The sequence below is a fragment of the Homo sapiens genome, chromosome 22, assembly GCF_000001405.40.
Source record: "Homo sapiens chromosome 22, GRCh38.p14 Primary Assembly".
NCBI classification, from domain to species: domain Eukaryota; kingdom Metazoa; phylum Chordata; class Mammalia; order Primates; family Hominidae; genus Homo; species Homo sapiens.
In genome coordinates, this window is record NC_000022.11 from 31322897 (window position 1) to 31346346 (window position 23450).

Sequence of the window (23450 nt, forward strand, 5' to 3'; positions counted from 1 at the left end):
ATCCAGACATTAATCATTCTGCCCTTCTCCTACCTTCCCCCAGTGAAAATCATTTCACACCATCTACCAGTCGTCCTCCACTCTTGGAGAGGTGCAGAGTAGGGTACGCAGCCTTGGGAGAGAGACTGAGAGGTAGAGTTTGTAAGGAGTAGAATTCTGGAGACACTGCTGCCAGGTGCTAAGCAGCCAGGCACAATTATGTAAACTGGAGGGAATCCCGCCAGCCTTCCTCCTCCAATGGACAGGAGGGATTTGTGAGACGCTAGTGATACTTCTGGGTAAGTTTTAGGTACCTTTAGAGTGAGTGCTGATCATTGTCACTCAAGGTAAGAGAGGGCATGGCTGTGGAATTTCCTCCTTCAAGAGGCACTTGTGAGCTGGGCACCATGGCTCACGCCTGTAATCCCAGCACTTTGGGAGGCCAAGGCGGGCAGATCACTTGAGGCCAGGAGTTTGAGACCAGCCTTACCAATATGGTGAAACCTTGTCTCTACAAAAAATACAAAAAAATAATTAGCCAGGTGTGGTGGCGTGTGCCTGTAATCCCAGCTACTTGAGAGGCTGAGGCAGGAGAATCGCTTGAACCCGGGAGGTGGAGGTGAGCCGAGATAGCACCACTGCAGCCTAGGTGACAGAGTGAGACTCTGTCTAAAAAAAAAACACCAAAAAACAAAAAACCAGAAACTATCACTGGGAGCTTAGGAGTAAAGTCTGAGGACAAGGCAGACCTCAGTTTGAATCCTGACTCTTCCACTTACTATGTGACCCAGGGGAGTTCCTCCATCCCTCTGAGCCTGTTTCCTGCAAGAGGGGGATGATAATAGAATAATGAAACCAACCTTATAGGTTGTGCAGGGGATTAGCTCATGATGATGGTTTCTTTTGGTCTCCACAAAAGACCTGATCAGGAAACAGGCTCAGAGATTTAGGGATTTCCCCAAGGTTGGCAGAGAGCAGATGATGGAGCCGAATAGCCAAAGCTCAGGTGGTTCTTCCTTTTTTTTTTTTTTTTTTTTTTTAGCGTTAGGGCCTCACTCTGTTACCCAGGCTTGAATGCAGTGGCGTGATCATAGCTCACTGTGACCTTGAACACCTGGGCTCAAGCGATCCTCTTGCCTTAGCCTCCTGAGTAGCTAGGACTACAAGCGGGCACCACCATGTGCAGCTGTTCTTCATTTTTTGTAGAGATGGAGTCTTCCTATGTGGCCCAGGCTGGTCTCAAACCCCTGGCCTCAAGTGATCCTCCTGCCTTAGCCTCCCAAAGCTTAGGCTGCCAAGGGAGCAGTGCTTTGGAAGATGCAACAGCCTGCTTGCTCTGTTGTTCCCCTCCTGCCATGTGACAGATACTCCTTTCTAATACCTGTGGTCCCTACCTGTCCATGGACATGCTCACAGGTCTCCAGGGAGCAGAACTAAAATGCGTTCAGGAGCTCGGGCTGGCCCAGTCAAGTCCTTGGTTCAAGGCCAGGTTCTCTTAACACTCAGTGGGTGTGACCAGATTCTGTGGTGGTCACAAAGCTACGTGTCCACAGGGCCTCCACATTCTAGGGTCACCCTTTCCTTTGATACTCACATCTAATGGCCTAAGCCTCTATTCCACACAGTCTGCAAAGCCCAGCAGCTTACCAAGGATTTTGTGTAAATGGCTTAGAATTGTTTTTTAAAAAATTCAGCTGAGAGTCTTTACCTTTACACCAGAACAATGTAATTCTAGGCAGGGTGCAGTGGCTCACGCCTGTAATCCCAGCACTTTGGGAGGCCCAGGCAGGCAGATCACCTGAGGTCAGGAGTTCGAGACCAGCCTGGCCAATGTGGTGAAACCCCGTCTCTACTAAAAATACAAAAATTAGCCAGGCATTGTGGTGCATGCCTTTAATCCCAGTTACTCCAGTTACTCAGGAGGCTGAGGCAGGAGAATTGCTTGGACCTGGGAGGCGGAGGTTGCAGTGAGCCGAGATCACACCACTGCACTCCAGCCTGGGCAACAAGAGCAAAACTCCGTCTCAAAAAAACAAAAAATAATGTAATTCTGATACCAATGTGGGTCTAAAAATTTTTGTGCTGTTTGTTCCCCTAGGTCTGTTTTTCTCTCCTTTACCATTGTTTTGTTTTCTTCTTGCTTGGAGGTTAAATGCTGTCTCTATCCTTTTAGGGGTTTCCCTCTTCCCTGAGATTTCTCAAGATGCCCAGGGTGCCTTAAGTCTGCCTGTCCCTTCTTGTTCCTCATTCTTATTCCTATTAATTCTCCATCGTGCTTACTTCTTGCCTCCTGTTTGTTGTTCTTTCCCTCTTTTCTTCATACATTCACCATTAACGGTGCACCAACCTTTTACTTAACATCAGGTAGATAACATGGTGGGGGAGACAAGTTGCTGAGCTTCTTAGAGCCCCTTGGCCATGAGGAGTCCCTGCCCACATCCCTCCTCAGGTGCTAGCTGGGTAGGCTGTGTCAGATCCCCTCTATAAGCCTTCCCTCCCAGAGCCCCAACCCCACTTCACACCTCCCTGGTCCACCCTACTCACCCTCCTGCTGTCACTGTCCCCTCACCTTGCCCAGTTCTTCTCCTTGTATTTCTCATTATCTGAACTCATATTTAAGTTGTCTGTCTATCCCATTAAGCCTCACAGTGGTGTCTTGTTCACCACCATATCTCAAGAGCATGAAACCATGCCTGGCACACAAGCAGTGAAGACAAGCAGTGGATATTTGTTGAACACATGGGTGAATTCTGGCATTCTAAGTCTTCAGTGGGACCATCTACCTGTCAATCCCAGTGGAACTGGTGCAATGAAGTGGAAAAGGGGTCTCCTGGGATCCCACTCCCACCCCAGGTGCTGGGGTATGGACTGCCCACCTCTGGGTCCCAAAGACCCCCACAGCTGAAAAACTGGACTCAAGGGAGCAGATAGAGTAATGTACTAACATTTTTAATACAGTCTGATCAGATCAATTCACATCACAAGGTCAACCTGGGCTTGCTCACATGTGACACAACTGAGGTACACAATGTCCCTACCTGCCGGCTGTCCCACCTTCCTGGTTCCCAACAGCATTGAAACCCCCTACTTCCCTGACCAGACTGGCATTTTTTAAAATTTTGCATAAAACTATTTCTTCCATAGACTTCAAACAATCAACTAGCCAAGTTAATTATGGTACATCTAAACAAAGTTTAATACTAACCCTAATGTGTGACTGCGGTTTACAAAGAGCTCTGTATCACCTGGGATAGCTTTCAGTAGCAATTCACTACAACTGGTCCTAAAAAATAATAACAATAATAATAATAATTAGAGAATTAAAACCCAACAGCATGTTGAATGGTTAAAATCACGTAAGAACTGAAATTTGGGGTGGGGGTGTCCTCAACAGCTGAGCTTGTCCTAGCAGTGAAAATGCTCGCCTCCAAGCAGGGCTCAGAAAGGTCTGGAGCCCTCCAGGCAGAGGGCTGAGCTCAGGGGGCTCTTGGAGGACACTCACCCCATGGTCCATGGGATGCTTCTGGCTTCCTTAAAAACAGTTGGGCATCCGCATTGTATAAGTAGGTGGAGACCCTAGTGTGGTTCTTTTGAAGGATATGGGAAGGGAGGATGACGAACTAGAGAAGTGGGAGGGGACCAAAATCACTGAGGTCCCAGAATATCATAGATTTGGGTATAGGATTGGGGTCACTAAGAATTGAGCACCAGGAATTCCAGCTTCTTCCCATTAAAGAAACTGGGACTGGTTTTGCCTTGGAGGCCTATGTAGTGTTTTCTGCCCCTGTCCCATACCAAGTCTCATTGATATTTCTGCAGAATATCAGATGAAAATCTATTTCTAAAGACCATTGGGAGAATGGGTGGTGGAGAAGGAGTTGGAGTGGGGTTGGGGGGCAGTTAAAAATGAATAAAAATCTCTCAGCTACAGAACCCAAACATCACTTCCCTCCGCATTCACAGCATTTCCCAGCAGTCCCCAGATGGTTGTTTCCGTGGGGACACAGCAGCTGCCTCATTTCCCTTCAGGCCCCATGGGCTGCTGGTCAACCTCAGGATCTACTAAAGATGACGCAAATGCCGACTGAACAATCTGAAACCCAAAGGACTCGAGGAGAGACATGTTCTGCTGAGGAGAGAAAGGTGAGCCAAGGGCAGGGCCCAGGTCCCCCAGGGGGCCCCCGAGAGCCCGGACATGCACCTTCTGGATGTGTTTGTTCAAGTAGGACTTAGAGCGGAAGAAGCTCCCACATTCAGGGCATGGGTACTTCTTCTCCCCATCAGACTCCATTTTGTTTTTGGGGACTGCCATGTCGCAGGAGAAAGAGCCATTGGCACTCTGCTTCTCTGGCGTCTTCAGGTCGCTGGCATCTGAGAGGTCACCATAGGAGTCAGAGCTCTCAATCGGATCCTGATGTGAGCATTTCTGGCCTTCTACGAAAAAACAAAATATAGGAGAGCGATGAGGCCAGGCTCTGGAGATGCCCCCTCCTGGAGGGGTCATGAGGGGCCAGCTCACAGACCTGTGGAGGGCAGCCATTGGCCAGCCACTGCCCTGGCAGAACCCACGGAGGGTCAGCTGGTCAGTCTGGGAGCCTGGAGTGCCTACAGGGGTGAAACGGCAGGGCCCTAGGGCTGCCAGCCTCCCTTGCTGTGGACTCTTCATGCAGCTGCACATGTACTGCTCACCGTCATCTCAGCCTGCTTCAAGGAAGGGATACAGAGAGGGCAACTCTGCTACAGCTGCCCAGAACAACTCAAAGACCCCCAACTCCTAGGCGCTCTTTTGGGTGCCTCTGAGGGTAAAATTGGTATTCTGATGATGCCGAGCCAGTGTAATAGTAGCCTCGCCTCCTGCACCAGACTAGCTGCACCCTAGCAAGACAGGCAGAACCAGAGCCATTAGGTCCTCAACCTGGGTAGACCCCATCAATGGCTCAGACAGAAGCCAATCCTTTTCCTAATGCTGCAAACATAGCCCTGTCCTTACCGCCTTCCTTCTGCCAAAACCTTTTCAGGGCCAAGCAGCCCAAGCACAGAGATTGAAAGCAACTCTGTACTACTCAGTCGGCTGGGTGTCCCCACCCTAGGCCCCAGACAAGCTGGGCCAAGAGACAACCCTGGCTGCTCTGCCTTGCCCGGCCCACACTGGAGTCCTCCACCAATCAGCAGCTTCCTGCCTGGGTCCAGAGAGCCATGCCGGGAAGGGAGGTCTGTGATGGGAGCATGGAGCATGCCATCTCTGCTGTTTCTACCATCTGCCAAGCCCCTGGCCTCATCCCCAAGGCAACGACAACGTGACATACCACAAAACAACCTGAATCAACAAGTGAAGGTGGGCCTGGGGAGCTTTCTGCAAACCAACTCCCAAGTCAGAGGAGTCAGATAGCTCATTATTGCCATGCATCTCACAACCATAGCCAGAGGCTCTCCAGAAAGGGCCACTCACAGTAACCAACCACTCCTACTGTGAGAGAAGCCAGACATTGGCTCCCACCGGCCCACTGGGTCAAAAGAGGAGAAAGCATTCAGCCGCAGCTCCACACCATCCTAAAGGGCAGCAGGCAGTGACAGGCCCATAGTGACTCATCATGCAGGGCTCTTCTTCTGCCCAGGGCCCGGGGCATCCCTGCAGGGCTCCAGACAGTGGGGGCTGGCCAGGAGGAAAGGAGGAGGGCTGGGGAAGAGGAGGCGGAGGCTGGATCTCGGCAGTGCCCTAAAGCCTCACTCACTGCCCTGGAGTGAGATACCCACTGTGACTTTTGTCCTGGAGGCCACTGCCACTCAGATCTCTGAGTCTCCTCAAGGCAGCCAGAAAGCCGGCAGCCTTCCCGCCTCCCCACGCCCAGCCCAGCGCCCCCACAACACAGTCTGCGCAGAGAAGCAAAGTGCAGAGCAAGGGGTCGCTTGCCTTTGTTGCCATAGGTCCTGGCGCAGTGGAACGCTGCTCCCCCATTCAGGATGGGCTCCTGGTGCCTGGAGACCTGGGGAAGGGGAACACCGTGGTGGGTTTTAACATGGACCTTTAAGTAGGAGGCAGAGGAGAAACCTAAACAAGACAAAAGGAGATGAGATCCCGCGGCCAGCAAGAGATACCTCTCTCCTTCCCCCAACTCCTCTCCTCTGGCCGCTCTGGCTAGCATTCCCAGGTCAGCTGCACCTAGAAGGGGCCCCCTCCTGGCTCAAAAATGGCTGCAACCACATGAGCCATGTGACTCAGGATGGAGGGTGGCACTGTCCACAAATCGGCTTCTCTGCAGAGCCCACTCTGCAAGGCTGCGGTGAGGGGCTGAGGCTGGCTGCCTGGTGGGATGGCCTGAGATCCTGCTCCTGCTAGGGCCAGAGGCCAACTGCCTCTAGGGTTGCTTGGTGCCTCAGTAACAGGTGGTTTGAGTGGATGTCTCCTGCAGGAACCATGACTAGAAATGTGGTTAGACAAGAATTTGAGGCTCCAGGGAAGCCACAGGATTCTAGCCAGCAGGATGCCTGCTTAATCCTCGTAAAAGGAAACTGGACAACAAACGAGATGGAGGTAAAATGAAATCCCAAAGGAACGCCTCCAAGGATCCCGTCTTCTACCTGTCAGGAGATGTTCTATTTTTCTAACTTCCCCACCTTCAGCATAACAGGATTTAGTAACTGTTTAGACCTTTTGAAGAACAAAGACAAAAATAGGAAGTTGTGTCAGAGGAGTGCAGTCATCTCTTATTCATGGTAGTGTTTTGGTTCGATTTTGGAGCATCCACCAGGTTCGCGTACAGGAGAAGAAACACGGATGATCTCTGTCTTTATTTTGGGGGAGGACAATCCGGCCTTCTTGGGACTGTTCCAGCCCACCTCCCAGATGCTTCGGTCAGTCTGATCCACGAGATATCTCAGGCTGGGAAGAACACATCTTGGGCCAACTTCCACAGCAGCCATGCGTCCAAGGATACAGAATCAGGCAGGCCGATAAAAGGATTTTGACTTGGGTTTCACAGGAAGGAGGTATGCCATCAAACCCCACTGTAGTCAAGGATCAGAAGGTGCTTTTAGCAGGAACTGAAGCTTTTTAGTATAAGGCCCACTTAGGGTGCCAGCACCCTGACAGTGTCCCTTTAATCCACTTCAGATCTGGTTGACTCATCATCAGGTGTTTCCATTCACTTTCAAAATTACACAGTCACAGGATAACAGTGAGATCCACTGCTAAAGGGTAAAGGGTCAGAGGCTGAAGAGTACTGTGTAATGTCTGCATGAGATTTGTTTTAAAAAAGTCTGAATTGGCATGGTATTTTGAATGCTGCTGGAACTGTAATAAAGGTTCACCTTTAGGAAGTGCTGATGGCACACCAGGGCCCAGCACACCGCATGCACTATTCTATAGAATTTGCCCAACACCCTTTGTGCTACAGATTACTATTATACCCATTTTACAGATAAAGAAATAAGAGGCTTTGTGAGGTTAGGGAGGCTGAGGTGGGCAGATCACGAGGTCAGGAGATCGAGACCATCCTGGCTAACACAGTGAAACCCCGTCTCTACTAAAAATATAAAAAATTAGCTGGGCGTGGTAGCAGGCACCTGTAAGCTGAGATCATGCCACTGCGCTCCAGCCTGGGCAACAGAGCGAGACTCCGTCTCAAAAAAAAAAGAGGCTTGGTGAGGTTAAGTAACCTGGTCACACGTACAGCTACTGAGTGGCAGAGCCTGGACTCCAACCCCAGGATCATGTGCCACCAGAACTTGGCCCTTAGCTACTGGGCAGATGCTTTAACCCACTTATGCCTCATGTTCCATTATTGGGACGCTAACCTTTTAGGAATTATTTGTATCCTACTGCTCAAGATCATCATTAAAGTCTGATTTTTCACAAAAAAGTTTGTAACCTCCAGCATAAATGGGTTAATTGGTTCCTGTGTCTTAGCCCTGAGCCCTAGAAATATCCAGTGGACTTTTACAATAGGTTTCATTATTACCATTTACACTCATGTATTTTTCGACCATAATGGTATGTTAGAATGGAAGCTGCTGGAAAAACAGGGCTGGCCTGTGGGAACTTTATTTAACAAGTTCTCCTCTGACAGCAGCAGTTAGTGGTTCTGAAGGGAAATGTGGGATTGGGCCAATTTTCCTTCCTTTCCCAATACAGCTACTTCAAAGATCTGTCTAGACCAGGTGCTGGTGTCCTGCCCTGCCTGGTAGAGCAAGTTGTCCTGTGCTATGACCGCAGTGGTCTGCCTGAGGCTGATCATGGGTATAGATTGGTGTAAGAGGGTCCCATGTAGACATCCCTAAGAGGGAGGCTGTAGTCAGGAGTGAGGAGACAAGGCTAATGGGAAAGAGGCTGTTAGCCCTGCCCCTTGGGGTGGTACTGTAGAGTCCCCTAAAACAAAGCAGAACCAGGAGACATTGGCTCCCACCAATCAGTACAAGATATTAGAACTTTCTGATAATATGATGATACCACTTTAGAAGGTAATTTTTTCCTTTTTTTTTTTTTTTGAGACAGAGTCTCACTCTCGCTCAGGCTGGAGTGCAGTGGCACCATCTCGGCTCACTGCAAGCTCCGCCTCCAGGGTTCATGCCATTCTCCTGCCTCAGCCTCCCTGGTAGCTGGGACTACAGGCGCCCGCCACCATACCTGGCTAATTTTTTTTGTATTTTTAGTAGAGACGGGGTTTCACCATGTTAGCCAGGATGGTCTCGGATCTCCTGACTTCGCGATCCACCCGCCTCGGCCTCCCAAAGTGCTGGGATTACAGGCGTGAGCCACCGTGCCCGGCCTTTCCTTAGTTTTTTAATCCCTTGTGGGGTCTCTAAAATAGCATGAAGCTCTCTCCCTGTGATGAACCAGAGCAGGTCCACTGCAATCAAAAGGGGACAGAAAGGAGCGGGAGAGCACCAGGAATTATTATGTTTACTCCTTACTGGGAGAGCTATACCAAGAGAACACAGCAGATGCTCAATAAAAACTTGCTGAGTTTGGCTGGGCGCAGTGGCTCATGCACTTTGGGAGGCCGAGGCAGGCAGATCACCTGAGGTTGGGAGTTCCGGACCAGCCTGACCAACATGGAGAAACCCTGTCTCTACTAAAAATACAAAATTAGCCGGGCGTGGTGGTGCATGCCTGTAATCCCAGCTAACTAGGGAGGCTGAGGAAGGAGAATCGCTTGAACCAAGGAGGTGGAGGTTGTGATGAGCTGAGATCGCGCCATTGCACTCCAGTCTGGGCAACAACAGCGAAACTGTCTTGCTGAGTTTTCCTGAAAAACAGTCTTAGAAACACGTGGCTGAGTCCTCTTGACTTTACCCCAGCTGCAGACTGTACTATCTATAGCAAAACCACATGGCGGGGTGGTAGGAGTGGATCCACAGCTGCCACTTAAAGCCTAGAATTTAAACACAGAGCAACTCAGCAGCCAAGTGTTAGGATGAAACAGAAGCTGAGCTTCTGAGCAGAATACGTCTTTGAAGCCAGACATATTTAGCCGGAATTCTAAACTTACCCACCCATTCACCACTGATTAACCAAGATCCAAAGAGGCAGCTTGATCCAGCCATCCACGCAATGGAGATGCTGAGCACACATATGACTGCCACTACAACCAACAAGCCACCGGCCCTTTCACTCCAGAGACGATGGTCTTATTAGCAAAAGGCCACTGCTCCTCAGTTGCATTTTCTTGCCTGGTGTGCCTGCACTTGGCACTCCAGAAGCAAATCATCCTTTGGCAGGTTCCACATCAATGCAGGGGTTGGGGACTGCTTTCTCCTTGTCCAAACCCTGAAGGGGCCATTCCCAACTGCACTGTGTTGGAGTGGGCCTACATAGCTTGATGTGAGTCCAGGGGAACAGCAGGTTCCCTGCATCCATCCACTTGTGTGCTTACCTCTGACTGGGGAGAAGGCTTCCTCTACCTTTCAAGCAATGATGTTTGCATTCAAATGTCTCTGTCAAAGGCGGATTCCTGATAATCTGTTCCTCTTCACCATACCAGCACATAGGCATATATACAAAGATCCTGCTACAGAAACTTTAAAGGAAGAAAATCATGGTGATCAGCCAGGGCCTTCTCCCTTTTCCACTGTTCAACTCAACTGATTTCCTCAACTCAAAAATGTGGGAACAAGCTTTTCTAGCCATAATACTCCCTCCACTGCAAATGATCTTCCTGTACAAATAGTATCATACACATCCTGATATGTCTGTATGACAAAGCCAGAGTCATCTGTCTCTTCAACTTGCATCTGACTCACGTGTGAGGCTGCAGGAGTCAGGCTGCCTTTCCTCTTTGCCATTCTTCACAGCCAGGAGTCATTTTTGTGGCAAAAATTGAAAAAGACAGATCTATAGGTAGATACTTAAGTCAACTATTTAAGAATTGTTGGGATTGAAGGATCTGAGGGCACCTGGAAGTTCACCTGATTCAATCTTAACTGTTCTGACATTCAGCCTTTGTTTGAACACATGCAGAGATAAGAACATTCGTTTATTCGTGCAACCCCTCCTGTAGGTACAGGCTTGGTGGCAGCAGGGCAAAGGAGGACACAGAGCTCTCTGCATTTTGATTCCAATGTCTCAATGTTTTTGGTGCTCAGAAAGAACTTTATCCTCTTCCTTTTTTTTTTTTTTTTTTTTTGTCTCTTCCTATTTCTGCCCAAGGAATGAGTCCAGGAGTAGAATCCTGCTCCTTCTCTTCTGATAAAAACTGCAATTGTTTTCTCTTCTTTCTGAGTACCCAGCATGGGTTGGACCAGCACCTTCTTTAGTCTTCTTGCAGGAAAGGGACTTCCCGCTCTGGCTCTGGAACCCAGAGATGTTTGGCCTGTGATCCAGACCCAGTCTTGGCTTTTCTGAGAAAAAGTAGACTCTGGTTTACTCTTCTGGATTCTCCATTCCGGTCATGTAGCTTATGGCTGTTGCCCAAGTTCTCTTTACTAGCCCTTGGAAAATAAATCCTGATGTACAATAGTTGTTGGCTTTGCCACATCAGCTGCTTCCTTACTGGGCCAACTTTCCCACTGTCCCTGCTGCTCTCAGTTTTTCTCTCCTCCTGAGCTGGGCTTCAAGGGCTGTAGCCCTGGGTCTCCTGTCCAGTTTCTGCCCTACTCCACCATCTGGTCTGGGCTTTCTGAGTTTTATCATGAGCACCCTTCTCCACTCAGCAGTTTTCAACCTCTGGTCTCTGACCCCAGTTCTCAGACTGGGAACTTCCATATTGAAAACTTGACAAAATGCCTGCTAACAGCTTGTTACAGCAGGTTTTGAGTTATCCGGGGGAGCTGTCAGGAAGCCAGGTTAGGATGAAGCAAGACAAGAAACGACATTATTTCTAGGGCTGGGGAAGCCCCAGTCAAGACAGTCAGCCACAGCCTGATAACTCTCCCTGCATGCGCAAGCCCACCGCTTGCAACCTGGAGGAAGCTCCTGTCAGCAATGGGCTCTAATGACATGTCAGAAAACAGAACAGACAGCTTAAGAGACCTTCACTACTACTTCCCTGCTTTCACAGCAGGTGTCCTGGTGGTACAAACCCCAGGTATGAAGCTGCAAGGAGGGACCCAGTTCCAGGACACCAAGAACACCCAGCTACTCAGCAATCTCCTTCCACCGTGGACCTCGGCACATGAACACAGCACAGGCACCCAACGATTCCGCCAAGGCCTGCAGGAGTGTTGTGCCTGGTCCAACCCAGAGTGTCAACAAGCATGTCTTTCCCAACATTGTTACAAAGTGCAAGGATAGAGTCTCCCAAGTGTGCGGCTCCTTTCACCTACCTTGTCTCCTGGGATCCTCATAACAGCCCTGTGAGGTGGGAAAGGGGGCTATTCTTAACCCCATTTGAGAGATGAAGAAACTCAAGCTTAGAGAGGGAATGGGAGAACTCGAGGCCACCTAGTGAGAGGCTGGGACTAAACCCTGGGTCTCTTGACTCCTGGTTCAGTGCTGCACCCACTAAGCAGGCTTTCGGAAGCATTGGGACAAGCAAGAATGCCCCAGGAGATAAGGACATCCCAGTGCTCCCCACTGGCCAAAGCAAAGCACACCATGCAGAAGCATCCTCACGTTCACAGATAGCTGCTCCAACCTCCTTTAGCACAGACACAGTGCAAGCCTCCACTGATGCTGTGCTTGCAAAACACAAACATCTAGCACTTCCAACAGCCAACTAGACCCGGCAGAACCTTGGGGACAGGCTTGACTTCACCCAACACAACACCACTGCCACAGAGTTAGACACTACTTAGGCCCACCTTGTCCTCAAGCATGCTGCCCTGCTCAGAGCACCTTCCACTTTCCTCTCTCAAGGCCACAATCTACCTGAGTTTGGGCTCTCTTCTGACTACTTGTGCTACAAAGTGTCTGCTCCTTGTTTATCTCCAGACTCAACCTCCTTCCCTGGCTGCTGAATTTCATATGCCAGTGAATCAACCAGCAAAAGCTCTCAAGCCGGACCAACCTCTTTTTCTCTCACTTTGGGACCTACTAACTCCCCCACCAACCTCAGTGGTTCAGTGGTGTCTGCAAAATGCATCCATCCTGCCATCTGAGTAGCAGGTGAGAGTTATGGGCCCAAGCTTGGGAAGAACCTCTCTCCTTCTGTTTTGACCTGCTGGTCTCCTGGGACTTCCCATTCTAAGCACCCCAAGCTTCTTGGGAAGGAAGAGGTAGCAAATAGCTAGTTGGGTGATGAAGGTGTTTATCATTCAGTGGGAAGTAGGGGGTGGCTGTGCAAAGAGTGGAGTCTGAGGCAGGGTGATTGAGACACCCCTAGGCCTCCCATACACGCTCAGGCCCATCCTCTGGAAGTGAGGAAACAGTGGGCAGATTACCTCGGTTACAGATACTGCAGAAGTTGCTGGGCCCCTCGCTGTGCTTCTTCAGGTGGTCTGCCATGTATGCTGCCCGCAAGTACTTCCCACACACCTGGCAGGGCACCTTGTCTTCATGACAGGCCAGGTGGGAGCGCAGACGGTCTCGGGTGGCAAAAGAAGCATTGCAGGTCTGAAGGCAGAAAAGAAAATGGGATGATGTGAAACCCAGCACCCCACACCTGACTCCCCACCAAGTGCACCATGAAGCAAAGGCAATTTCTGGCCATCACATGACCTCCCTTTATAAAGACAGCTTTAGAGTTTGGCTCAGGCTCCCTACCCAGAATGCCAAGAGGCTGCTCTTATTTCCCATGGTACCTCCTTACGGGACACTTGAGTGGGAATCACTGGTACTAACTAAATGACTACTGGAAATGTACCCAGGACATGGCAAGCTAAGCTCTATACCCCTCTACACAATGAAGAGTTACACATTTGCTCATCCTTAGACATTAAGAATTGACTTTAGGTGCATTAGCTATAATGCACAGAATTACATTTACATGAATTTACAGATGAGTTATTGGCATATAAACCAGCCTTCCTGTTCTGTATCCCTGGGTTTCCCCTAGTTTTATACAAAGAATTATATTTGTTCATTTTATTCAAAAGTGACATTAGTCTTGGCCAGGGAAATGGAAAGGAAAGGCAGGACAAAGTGCAGAGATAATTATTCGTAATATTTTCACGAGTTTGAATTGAAAAAGCAGCCCATTAAATGATAGTGGCAATTCTGACGACATGAGAATTAGCAGACAGCAAGGGCCAGAGGCTTCAAAAGTGTCTGTGGGCCGGGTGCGGTGGCTCATGCTTGTAATCCCAGCGCTTTGGGAGGCCGAGATGGGTGGATCACCTGAGGTCAGGAGTTCAAGACCAGCCTGGCCAACATGGTGAAACCCCATCTCTATTAAAAATATAAAAAATTAGCCGGGTGTGGTGGCAGACTCCCGTAATCCCAGCTACTTGGGAGGCTGAGGCAGGAGAATCACTTGAACCTGGGAGGTAGAGGTTGCAGTGAGCCAAGATCGTGTCACTGCACTCCAGCCTGGGCAACAAGTCAAGACTTCCTCTCAAAAAAAAAAAAAAAAAAAAAAATCCGGGCGCGGTGGCTCACACCTGTAATCCCAGCACTTTGGGAGGCTGAGGCGGGCGGATCACGAAGTCAGGAGATCAAGACCATCCTGGCTAACACGGTGAAACTCGGTCTCTACTAAAAACACAAAAAAATTAACCAGGCATGGTGGCAGGTGCCTGTAGTCCCAGCTACTCGGGAGGCTGAGGCGGGAGAATGGCATAAACCCGGGAGGCAGAGCTTGCAGTGAGCCGAGATCACACCACTGCACTCCAGCCTGGGCAACAGAGCAAGACTCCGTCTCAAAAAAAAAAAGCATTTGTGAAACGTTAAGCTGGGGAAGTGCTGGTGACAGCAAGGATGATGATACTACCCTGTATTGATTAAGCATTCATTGTGTGCCAGGCAGGCACGGTGCTCAGCCTTTTAGAGGCACTTATCTCATGCAACCCATCCTGACAGCAGCCCTCCGAGGCAAGCTGTGTGATCACCCTCCAAGACAGCGTGGCTTTGGAAAGCTGTGGTGTGAGCTGAGCACCAACTCACAGCCAGGCCCCCGGGGTTGGATGAGTCAGGAGCTGAAGGTCAGAACCAGCACCCTGGAAGGAGGACTCAGGTTGGCAGGCACTTCCTGTACCTGAGCACCTGACTTAGTACCAGTGATCAGTCTCCTCACAACATCCCTTCCTCAGCTGGAGCTTACAAAGGCATTCCAGCTGTGGGGGTCATAGAATATTGGGAAAGCCCTGAGAAGAGCTGAATCCGTTGGCTTTCAAGCTATTTTGGTTCCAGGGAGGTGTTTCATGGGTTCTAGTCAATTTTGACTCATTTCTTTTGTGTGTGTGTGTGTTTACTGTTTTAGAACTGTAAGAGAAAGCAACATTCACCTTTGTGTCACAGATCAAATGGTAACCCACTGAAGACCACCCCATTACCTTGTGCTAGAACGGAACTGCCTCTGCCATCTCTCTTTAACAGAAGCACATCCTGAGAACCTGAGAGCTCAAGGTAAGTGGCTGAACACTGTCAACACATACAGACATCTAACTGTCTCCTTACTGTACAGCCATAGCAAGAAACAAACGCATGCAATGCTGTCAAGGTAGAAGACACCACTGTTTACTACCCCAGTCCCAAATATCTGTGTACGTTAGCACAGCCTACCTAGCTCTTCTGTCATTGTCTTTTTAAGTAAACATTATACATTTGAACTGAATTTGTAGCAATGACATACTGCTTTTATCTGTTTTATATATTCAGTGTATTCATATCATAAATGAGGAAACCTTCAGAAGGTGAACTTGCTTAAAACACAAGACTCAGCTACTAAAGAAAGTCTAGCACACCCACCCCCACCACACCCAGGCCAGTACTTTACCAATCCTCCTGGACACCCTGGGGGATTCTGATCTCTCCCAGTTTACAGCTGGGCCAGTGGAGGCCGTGAGAGGATATGAGACAGCTGGACTAAGAACCAGTCCCAGAGCCTGTGCTCTTACCATCTCCAGATTCAGGAGAGGGAGCTTCTGCTGAGTGAAAGGTGCTCATACTTTATAACACAGTGTACAGTACTTGGCAGCCAGGACTCCCAAAAGGGAAAGGTGAACAGATTTGTGCAAGGAAATTCCAGCATGTAGGAAGTCAGAAAGCACCATGGATGCTTGCTCTCATGGCCACATGTGGGCCCCACGTCAGCCAGGGACCTCATGACCCAGTGACAGGCCACAGTAGGAGAAAAAAACTCCTAACCTCTACACAGCCCAGCAGTCTCTAAACCAGAGCAGGGGCTGCATAAACACCCCCGGGAAAGAGAGGTACACCTGTTGATTTATTTGGGGACAAGAGCTAGCTTTGCCAGGCAGCGACCCAAAGACCACCCCTCCAATGGTGAGAGAGGGTGTGTTCTAAGCCTCAGAACTCAAAGGAACCAACATGGATCAGGTGTAAGAAAACAGGGCTGAGGCCAGGCGCAGTGGCTCACACCTGTAATCCCAACACTTTGGGAGGCCGAGGCGGGTGGATCACAATGTCAGAAGTTTGAGACCAGCCTGGCCAATATGGTGAAACCCCGTCTCTACTAAAAATACAAAAAAATTAGCTGGGCATGGTGGTGGGCGCCTGTAGTCCCAGCTACTCGGGGGCTGAAAGCATATTCAGGATTTTGTCTTCCACAGTCTCTGGGAGAGGGAGCCACAAGAGGGATAGGAAAGAGATGCCTTGTTTCTCTTGCCAACCTTCTTTTGGGATCTGTCCTCTAAAGGCTTTGCCTGTCATGCTTTGCTACCTAAAGATGATGGATAGCCAAACTTCAGTTACCCACAAGTGGCTTATCCATTTGGGGATTAGCTAAGCAAAATTAAAATCCCAGACTGGGCTGGCTTCCCCCACCCTGTCCTCCATTGATTATCTCTCAAGGAATGAAAGCTAACTTTCGCCTGAGCAAACAGAATTAGGAATGTAAATCTGCTGCTGGGGGAAAAAACACAAACATGACAAACGCTTTCCCTGTGTTCAAAGCCAAGCTGAAGTGATTGTTGGCTTCTCTGTGCCAGGATTGACCCTCTGCTGCTGCAGTCCCCAGGTTTTCTGGGGAGCCTGTGAAAGTCCAAAGTCTAGGCACAGCAGAAGTTCAGACAACACAGAACATGAAAGAGCCTGGTCACACAACCCAGGAGAGAAGGGGCGGAGGGAGACAGATCTCAAAGGGAACATCCAGAACTTCCATGCTGGGGTGTCAGGAGAAGAGCATTCTTTGTCCTAGAGACAGGGAGAAGACAGAGGGACGCTGATGGGAAGAGAGTGAGCCAGAGGCAGAATGCTTTGACTGCCTGTGGCACTCGGAAGAGCTGCCCGGCCCACAGCCCTGTGCTTAGTTAGACAGCCTGCTGTAATTAAGGGCCATGCCTGCCAGGTCCTGGCCCAGGCACCCTGAGTGCAGGTCATCACCACTCAACACTGAGCCCCAGTCCTGCTCCCTTCCCAGACTTCCTAAAGCTTTTCTTCCTAAGGATTGAGCAGCTTGGGAATGGGGCCCAAGTGGTACCAAGGGCACTAGTGCACACCCCCACCCTTAGTAGCCCTTGAACTCAGGCAGCCTCAGGGGTAGTCTCAAGCAGCTTTCTCCCACAGCCCTGGAAAACTCTAAGGGCAATGCATGAAGGTTCAGCTCCCTGGGCTCTTTGGCCCCCTTCTTCTCGAGCATATGCCCATCTCAACGCATTCCTTCTCTAACCAGCCCCCAAGAAGTGGAGCCCGTGGAAGCTAGGGAGGTCTGAGCTGCTCCAGCCTCTCAGCTTCAGGTTGAACTCCATGTGGGGGAAATGTCCCAGCCCACTAAGCTCATAAATCCAGCAGTACCTGGGGCATCTGGGCCAGTTAAGGACACTCAGGCCAAGTCCCAAAGAGACATGCCACTGTCAAGCCTGAGGCTTCCTGCCCCTACATTCAGATGGCCTTTCTACTTAAGCTATGGCACTAGTCTCTGTAACTGGCCTCTTTCATTCTCTCTGGCATCAGGAGGGGATGAGCGATACGGACTGTGCCTAGCCAGTGGGGAACTCAAGGAATGAACTCCCAGAGAGCCGTCTCTTCACCTCTTATGTTTTCAGCATCCCCACACTATGCCAACAGGTGCCCCTGCTGTTTAACCAAGTCCAGGCACACCTGGCTGGCCAGCCCAGAGCAAGAGAGCCAGCATGTCTTCACCTGCTGGGTCCGTTAGGGGAGTTGTGGCTGTAGGGCTGGAGGAGGGGCCAGCAGGTCTGTGAGAGTGTATGTTGGGAGGGGCAGGGCAGGAGCGCATTTGTACACCAAGGGACAGTGATGTCAGTGTTATGACACAGACCAAGGACAAAACACACAAAGCCTCAAATGTTAGAATGAAAAATTTTATCATCACTCCTGTTCACCCCGCAGAGTCTGCGGAGTGCTAAAGGGCACACCAATAAGGATCCGAGGGAGGGGGTCTACATCTGCTTTTTCAGCCCCCAAAGCCATATATTGGGGTGGCCCAATATAAAGCTACTCATTAGTTTGGTTCCTGAGCAGACCTGCTAATAAACCTCAAAAACACAAAAGTCTACTTCACTAGCCAGAAATGAAAGCAGGATCTAGATCTGAGTGGGAAGGGCAGAGGGCAGCATGGGTTGACTCTAGTTGGAATTGTGCCAGTCTTCTCTGGAGGCCGACTCACTCGTGGAGTGGGGAAAGGGGTGGCCAGGCCCCAGTCTAGAAACCCCAGGCCTATGGGAAGTGATGCCAGGGGAAGGGAAGCAGATAAGCTGGTGGCTAGTTCCCAGGAAGGCACCAACCTCCAAAATCACCTAGGCAAGGACAGATGCCCAGGGGTGCCATCTGTGAAAGGGGGGAAAAGGCAAGAGAGCCCAGAAAGAAACTTGGATGCTATAGGGGGTTCCAGAAAGGTGCTCCTTGCTACCCCCATTTGGGGGCTCTGACATGGGAAAGACTCCGAGTCACCCAGGGAGGAGCTGGGCATGCTGGGCAGGAACCACCCTGCTAGCCTCTCCCAAAAGCAGGGGTCTCAGGCCAAATGCCCCTCCTGTTCCCTTCCACTGTCAACCCTCTCCAGGGAGGCCCAGGCTAGCCAACAGGCCACTGGGTAAAGGCCCTGCTGCCCTCTGGGGTGGTCCAGCCCTGCCTCAGATATCCCGGCGGGGCTGGGCAGAAGAGAGTGTTGCTGGAGTGTGCTGGGCCCAGGTTTTCAAGGGCTGGGAATGATTTTTTTAGAGAAAGGGAAAAGGCGGTGTCAGGAACCGAATGGGACGACCTCCACAAAGCAGGCTGGGCAAAGTCCCATGATGGCAGGTCGCTAGGAAGAGGTTCCAGGGGCGGCAGGCCGCTGCTGCTCCCAACCCACACCTGGAAAAAGGGCAGAGAGTGCAGGTTACCCCCCCAGGCCACCGGGCTTGCCCCCACTGCCCTCTGGGCTCCTCCTACTCTGCCCGGGCTAATCAGCACACTACCTGAGTCAGAATGTGCTCTGTGATGAGAGAATCAGAGACAGAGAGAGAGAAGGCAGCAAGGCAAAGACAGATCCCAGCAGGCCCACCCTGGGTCATCCTCCAGGGAGACTGCCTAGCCCAGCACCTGTGAACACCGTCCACGCCTGACCCCCAGGGGCTCTGCCCTACTTACGGCACATTCATCCCTCCCTGCTGGTCTCCCTGAACCCTCTCCCCTTGCCACCAACAGGATAAGGAGAAGCAGGTTATCCTATCAGAGACTGCAGTGCACACCCCACAATCATGGCTCGCCCTCACTTGATGGGAACTTGGCATGGGAGAGGGGAGATAACCAAGGAGAAGACAGAGGTGTGTTCGCTATCCACACAGGAAGGCTCAGTGGCCAGGAGAGGAAACTCAATCTTTTGGGTACCAGCAGGGCCCCCAGATATTGTTCAAGCAGGTAAACCAAGGGTGAGAATCTATCTGGTCCAGCGTTTCCTACCTGCTACTTTGCAAAGAGCTAAAAGAAGAAGAGCCCACTTTGCTCTCCAGTCCTCCAGAAACCCTGGCTTAGGATGGGTTAAACAGATGCCAGTGTGGGAGAGGGGACCACCCACTCCCTACCTCCTACCTCCCCCACTGCCTTGTGCCCTAAGCTGAGGGGACCCAGGAGGAGCTCTAACTGAGGTCAGAAAAGGGGAAGAGTGGTTGGCTGGACCACCAGGAGCCCTTTTAAAAAAACCTGCAGTCCCTACAAACTGCTGGAAACCAACAGTCAGGCCCAGCGCAGTGCCGGGTCTCCCAACACAACATCTGTGTGATACGGCCCACCATCCAAGGAGCCGGCAAACACCAGGAGAGGAAAGCCAAGCAACAGAGTGAAGGCAAAGACAGGGTGGGAACCAGGACCAAGCAACCAGGAAGGAGGAACGTCAGCTGTGGGGGAAGGGGGCCTGGGGGAAGAACAAAGGAGGAGAGCAGAGGGAGGGTGGAGGAACAGAGGGGAGGTGTGCAAAGCGGTGGGCGGTCAGCCGGGCCCCCGGCACACGCAGCGGCTGGCTCAAGGCTGCGACCGTGAGAACAGCATCATCTCCTTCAGCCCATCTCTGCCCTGACCCAGCCCCTACCTGACACTTGTGAGGCCGCTCAGAAGTGTGCACCTGCTTGATATGTCCGTTCAAGTGATCAGGCCTGGAAAAGAGAGAACCAAGAGGGACTTTAGAAACTTGGCCAGACCCCACCACACAGGCACATATGCATACGTGTGTACACACACACACACACTCACTGCTGGAAAGGACTCCCTCTCCCCAACCCCAGCATGACAAAGACAAAGTCACCACCCAGTTCTGGCTCCACAGGCCCAGGCCTCTCTGCCCTGGTTTTCTCTGGAGGGGGGAAGAGAAATGGGCATTTGTCTCTGATTTTGCCTCCCCACTCCCTCAATTCTCCCCACCAGAAACTCAGTGTTTTCTAGGACCAGAGGCGGTGGCAGTAGAATGAAACAGAGCTGCCTCACTGCAGCCTTTCCAGGAGGGGATATGTGATTCATTGTCCAGACTAAAGCCCCTTAGAAACTCAGCAATCCCCTCCCCCAGCCTCTCCCGCCACGGGCAGCCAATGAATGCCACCCGGATGGAATTCAGTCCCCAGAGGCCAGCAGTGGAGCCTTAAGTCCCCAGCTGGGCTGGTAAGCCAGATGCCCGCCTGAGCAGGTGGGCAGGGGCTGCCTGACCGGTAAGACTGGTTCCTGGTCGGGGCCCTCTGAGGGAGTTCTCCATCCCTGTGTTCACACACACAAGGTCCTACAATCCAGGTTAAAACCGGCCTTTTAGGAGAAAAACAAAATCACCCTCTGCTCCCAGACAAGTCCTCAGTTCCCCAACAGGCTAACTAGAAAGTGAACCTACATAGAGATCCTGTCCCCATTCCTTTCTGTCCTGAAAACATAAAGGGGCTCGTGGGTCCCATTAGGCTCTAGAGCTACCAGGTCAGAGCAGATCAAAGCTTTTGGTGTTAAGCAGCAGCTCTGGGTGACCAGCTCTGTGTCCCATGATCCCAGGGTGGTGTGAGAGGCACAGCTGGAGTCTACTGATCAGGATGGCCAGTGTTCTGTGTTGGGGAATCTGGTGCCTCAAGAGTGTAGGGAGTCCCAGATGCACTTGTTCCAGTACCTCCCTCGGCAGCCATTCAAGCGGGGAAGTCGCTGGAGGAGCCCAGTCTCCCGCCCCCAGAGGGGGCCCCACGCCTGGTGCCGGAAACACAAAGGGAGCCCTGGGGGAAGAATGGTGAGGTCCGGTGGCTCTGGCCTGAGGAATCCGGCCCCAGGAGGAGAGACAGTAGGGCACACTTAGCGTCAAAAAAACTTCCCTGAGGGAATGGAAAGCAGGTCTCAGGCATACCATCTCAAAATAAGGGCCCTTAAAAACACTCTACCCAAACCTGGCATGGTTCTATAAGGTCAAATGACCCCCACAAATCCCACACCCCCAGATCTTGGCAGGAGCCTTTTCAGGACTAAGATAACGTGTGGCAGGGGAGGAAGAGGGGGCCTTTCCTCACCTGGAGAAGCCTTTCCCACAGCTCTGGCAGATGTAAGGCTTGCCCACGGACCCATCATGGGACCGCACATGGTAGGACATGCGGTCTTTTCTCTTGAACCGCAACCCACACACAGGGCAGGAGTAGGGCTTCTCCCCAGAGTGGGACAGCTTGTGCCGGTTAAGATGATACACATCACGGAAGATCTTGCCGCAGATCTCACAAGCCACCTGCTTCCTGGTCCGGCTCCTCTTTCGGGGGCCGTCGGGGTCTTCAGAGATGGGTAGCCCATTCTCACCCAGCCTCGGAGGAGGAAGGTCGATGTAGCCCAGCTGGAGGCTGGTGACACCGTGCTGGGCCTCGTGCTGCCGGAGCCGGTTGGCATCAGTGAACACCTTACCACATAGACCGCATGGAAGGATGCCTGCCTCCCTCAGGCCCCCTGGGGACCCAAACATTGAGTCCAGCAGGTTGGCCTTCCTTGGGCGGCCCCGGCCTCGCTTGCCAGTCAGGGGAGGGGCACTGGATGCCACACTGGGGAATGGGGAAGTCAGCAGTTGGGGGGATAGGGGTCCAGCCACCATGGGCAAGCGGTCCACCCCAGGTAACACAGGCAAAGAGGCTTGGCCTGCAATGGCTGCACCAGCCGCCCGAGCTGCCTCCTCCTCTGGCTGCATGCTGCCGGCGATGCCATTGCTGTTGGCTGCCAAGGCTGCCCCGTTGGTCATGTCCAAAGGGAAGCCCAAGTCCGAGGTCCCAGGGGGGCGAAAGAGCATTATATCGGCGCGGGCAGGGGGTACCAGGATCTGTACGTTGGACTGTTTGATGACTTCCTGGCAGATCTCGATAACCGACCTCATCAGCAGGAACTTGGCGGCCGTCATGAGTTCGGGAAAGCTCTCCAAGCGCACCACGATGCGGGAAGTGTAGGCGAAGTCCAGAATGTCCCCAAATACCTTGGAGCTGATAGTGTGCATCTCCAGCTCCCGGCTGCCCCCGGCCCCGCCGCCTGGTGCTGCCGTCGCGCCCCCTACATCAGCCGGACCCCCGTCCGCAGCTCCGCCGTCGCCCAACTGGGCGCTGAACACCGACTCAAAGTACTCGCTGCAGGCGGCCAGCACGGCGCGGTGCGCTGGGAAGCTCTCGTCGCCTACCCGCAAGAGCACGTCGCAGAAGCGCCCGCCGTTTTTGCGCTGCTGGTTCAGGTTGTGCAGCATCTCCGTGCTGTGTCTGCTCACCTGGTATGTGTAGCAGCCAGACGGGCCGCACGAAGCGTCGTTCACCCGCTCCATGGCCGCCGCCCCCTCCCACTAGCCCGGCCGCTGCACCTGCCCGCCCCCTCCCTTCCCCTCAGCAGCGAGAAGCGGGGCGCAGCAGACGTGTCCACACTCCCCACACGTGCCGGCCCGAGGCTCTGTAGTCTCGCAGGTGCGCCGAGTGTACACGCCCCCAGCCCGGATCAGACTGTCTAGACTGCGGGGTGCACCACCCCCCACATAGCCAACCCCCGCCCTCGCTGGACTGCGCGCCACTCTCTCCTCTCCGCCCGCCCGCCTCCCCTTCCCGGTCTACCTTCCGGGGGGGTGCGCGAGCGAAGAGGTGCGCCCCTCCTGCAAACGCGCCTGCCACCTCCCCTCCCGCCCGCCAGGCGGCGCCGGCGCGCAGCCAAGAAGGGCACGCGCACGCGGGGAGGAGAAGGAGGGGTCCGCCGCGCAGGCGCGCGCGCGCGCCGCGGCTTTTCCCGGGCCCGCTGGGGGCGCGCGCTGCGTCCCCTGCAAAGCGCGAGCCGGGGCGGGGGCGCCGGAGCGGAGGAAACAAAAGGCGAAGGCGAAGGCGGCGGCGGCGGGGCGCGCACGGGGGCGGTGGCGCGGGCCGGGTCCCGGAGCCTGGAGGGCGGTGGCGGCGGCGGCGGCGGCTGGAGCGGGCGGGCGGCGGCGGCGGCAGAGTAGGCCCTTCCTCAGGCCGGGAGAAGGCGGCGGCGGAGCGGCGGCTGTGCGGCCCCGGGCTCCGTGTGTTCGGAGCGGAGGAAAGATGGC

At 52.4% G+C, this 23450-nt stretch overlaps 1 protein-coding gene and 1 long non-coding RNA gene across 5 annotated transcripts, besides 8 other annotated features; one reads left to right on the forward strand and one right to left on the reverse strand.

The window, feature by feature from the left end:
• Positions 1–2907: 2907 nt before the first annotated feature.
• Positions 2908–23450, reverse strand: PATZ1 (POZ/BTB and AT hook containing zinc finger 1). Of its 4 annotated transcripts, none has more exons than NM_032052.2 (5): positions 21436–23450; positions 20001–20064; positions 12796–12967; positions 5891–5963; positions 2908–4413 (listed from the first exon to the last, which is right to left on the reverse strand). In NM_032052.2, exons 1-5 carry the CDS (start codon positions 22704–22706, stop codon positions 4380–4382), a joined length of 1614 nt encoding a protein of 537 aa, NP_114441.1. In that variant the 5' UTR covers positions 22707–23450; the 3' UTR covers positions 2908–4379. The 4 variants fall into 4 exon arrangements, with proteins under 4 accessions (NP_114441.1, NP_055138.2, NP_114439.1 ...); NM_014323.3 differs by having other exon boundaries at positions 5891–6028; NM_032050.2 differs by lacking the exon at positions 5891–5963.
• Positions 6083–6767: an enhancer, noted in NCBI's record as "H3K27ac-H3K4me1 hESC enhancer chr22:31724965-31725649 (GRCh37/hg19 assembly coordinates)". NCBI's record gives its function as "activates a minimal SCP1, AML or CMV promoter by ChIP-STARR-seq in primed H9 embryonic stem cells {active_cell/tissue: H9 hESC(primed)}" and the evidence as "EXISTENCE:reporter gene assay evidence [ECO:0000049][PMID:30033119]".
• Positions 12453–15125, forward strand: PIK3IP1-DT (PIK3IP1 divergent transcript). The gene is made up of 2 exons (NR_110542.1): positions 12453–12520; positions 14772–15125. It is a non-coding gene; the product is annotated as a PIK3IP1 divergent transcript (long non-coding RNA).
• Positions 15583–16083: an enhancer, noted in NCBI's record as "H3K27ac hESC enhancer chr22:31734465-31734965 (GRCh37/hg19 assembly coordinates)". NCBI's record gives its function as "activates a minimal SCP1, AML or CMV promoter by ChIP-STARR-seq in primed H9 embryonic stem cells {active_cell/tissue: H9 hESC(primed)}" and the evidence as "EXISTENCE:reporter gene assay evidence [ECO:0000049][PMID:30033119]".
• Positions 17121–18095: an enhancer, noted in NCBI's record as "H3K27ac-H3K4me1 hESC enhancer chr22:31736003-31736977 (GRCh37/hg19 assembly coordinates)". NCBI's record gives its function as "activates a minimal SCP1, AML or CMV promoter by ChIP-STARR-seq in naive and primed H9 embryonic stem cells {active_cell/tissue: H9 hESC(naive and primed)}" and the evidence as "EXISTENCE:reporter gene assay evidence [ECO:0000049][PMID:30033119]".
• Positions 19771–20308: an enhancer, noted in NCBI's record as "H3K27ac-H3K4me1 hESC enhancer chr22:31738653-31739190 (GRCh37/hg19 assembly coordinates)". NCBI's record gives its function as "activates a minimal SCP1, AML or CMV promoter by ChIP-STARR-seq in naive H9 embryonic stem cells {active_cell/tissue: H9 hESC(naive)}" and the evidence as "EXISTENCE:reporter gene assay evidence [ECO:0000049][PMID:30033119]".
• Positions 20309–20847: an enhancer, noted in NCBI's record as "H3K27ac-H3K4me1 hESC enhancer chr22:31739191-31739729 (GRCh37/hg19 assembly coordinates)". NCBI's record gives its function as "activates a minimal SCP1, AML or CMV promoter by ChIP-STARR-seq in naive H9 embryonic stem cells {active_cell/tissue: H9 hESC(naive)}" and the evidence as "EXISTENCE:reporter gene assay evidence [ECO:0000049][PMID:30033119]".
• Positions 20848–21385: an enhancer, noted in NCBI's record as "H3K27ac hESC enhancer chr22:31739730-31740267 (GRCh37/hg19 assembly coordinates)". NCBI's record gives its function as "activates a minimal SCP1, AML or CMV promoter by ChIP-STARR-seq in naive H9 embryonic stem cells {active_cell/tissue: H9 hESC(naive)}" and the evidence as "EXISTENCE:reporter gene assay evidence [ECO:0000049][PMID:30033119]".
• Positions 22206–22275: a silencer, noted in NCBI's record as "silent region_13627". NCBI's record gives its function as "represses an Ori minimal core promoter by ATAC-STARR-seq in GM12878 lymphoblastoid cells {active_cell/tissue: GM12878}" and the evidence as "EXISTENCE:reporter gene assay evidence [ECO:0000049][PMID:35858748]".
• Positions 22826–23245: a silencer, noted in NCBI's record as "silent region_13628". NCBI's record gives its function as "represses an Ori minimal core promoter by ATAC-STARR-seq in GM12878 lymphoblastoid cells {active_cell/tissue: GM12878}" and the evidence as "EXISTENCE:reporter gene assay evidence [ECO:0000049][PMID:35858748]".

Bases quoted from the DNA above. Each gene is read 5' to 3' on its own strand.
- PATZ1 (NM_014323.3), bottom strand. From the start codon at position 22,706: ATGGAGCGGGTGAACGACGCTTCGTGCGGCCCGTCTGGCTGCTACACA. The intron at 12,968-20,000 runs GTAGGGGCTGGG...TTCTGCCTTCAG, and splicing joins AGCGGCCTCACAAGTGTCAG to ACCTGCAATGCTTCTTTTGC. The intron at 6,029-12,795 runs GTAATCTGCCCA...TGTCTTGTTTAG, and splicing joins CTGCAGTATCTGTAACCGAG to GTTTCTCCTCTGCCTCCTAC.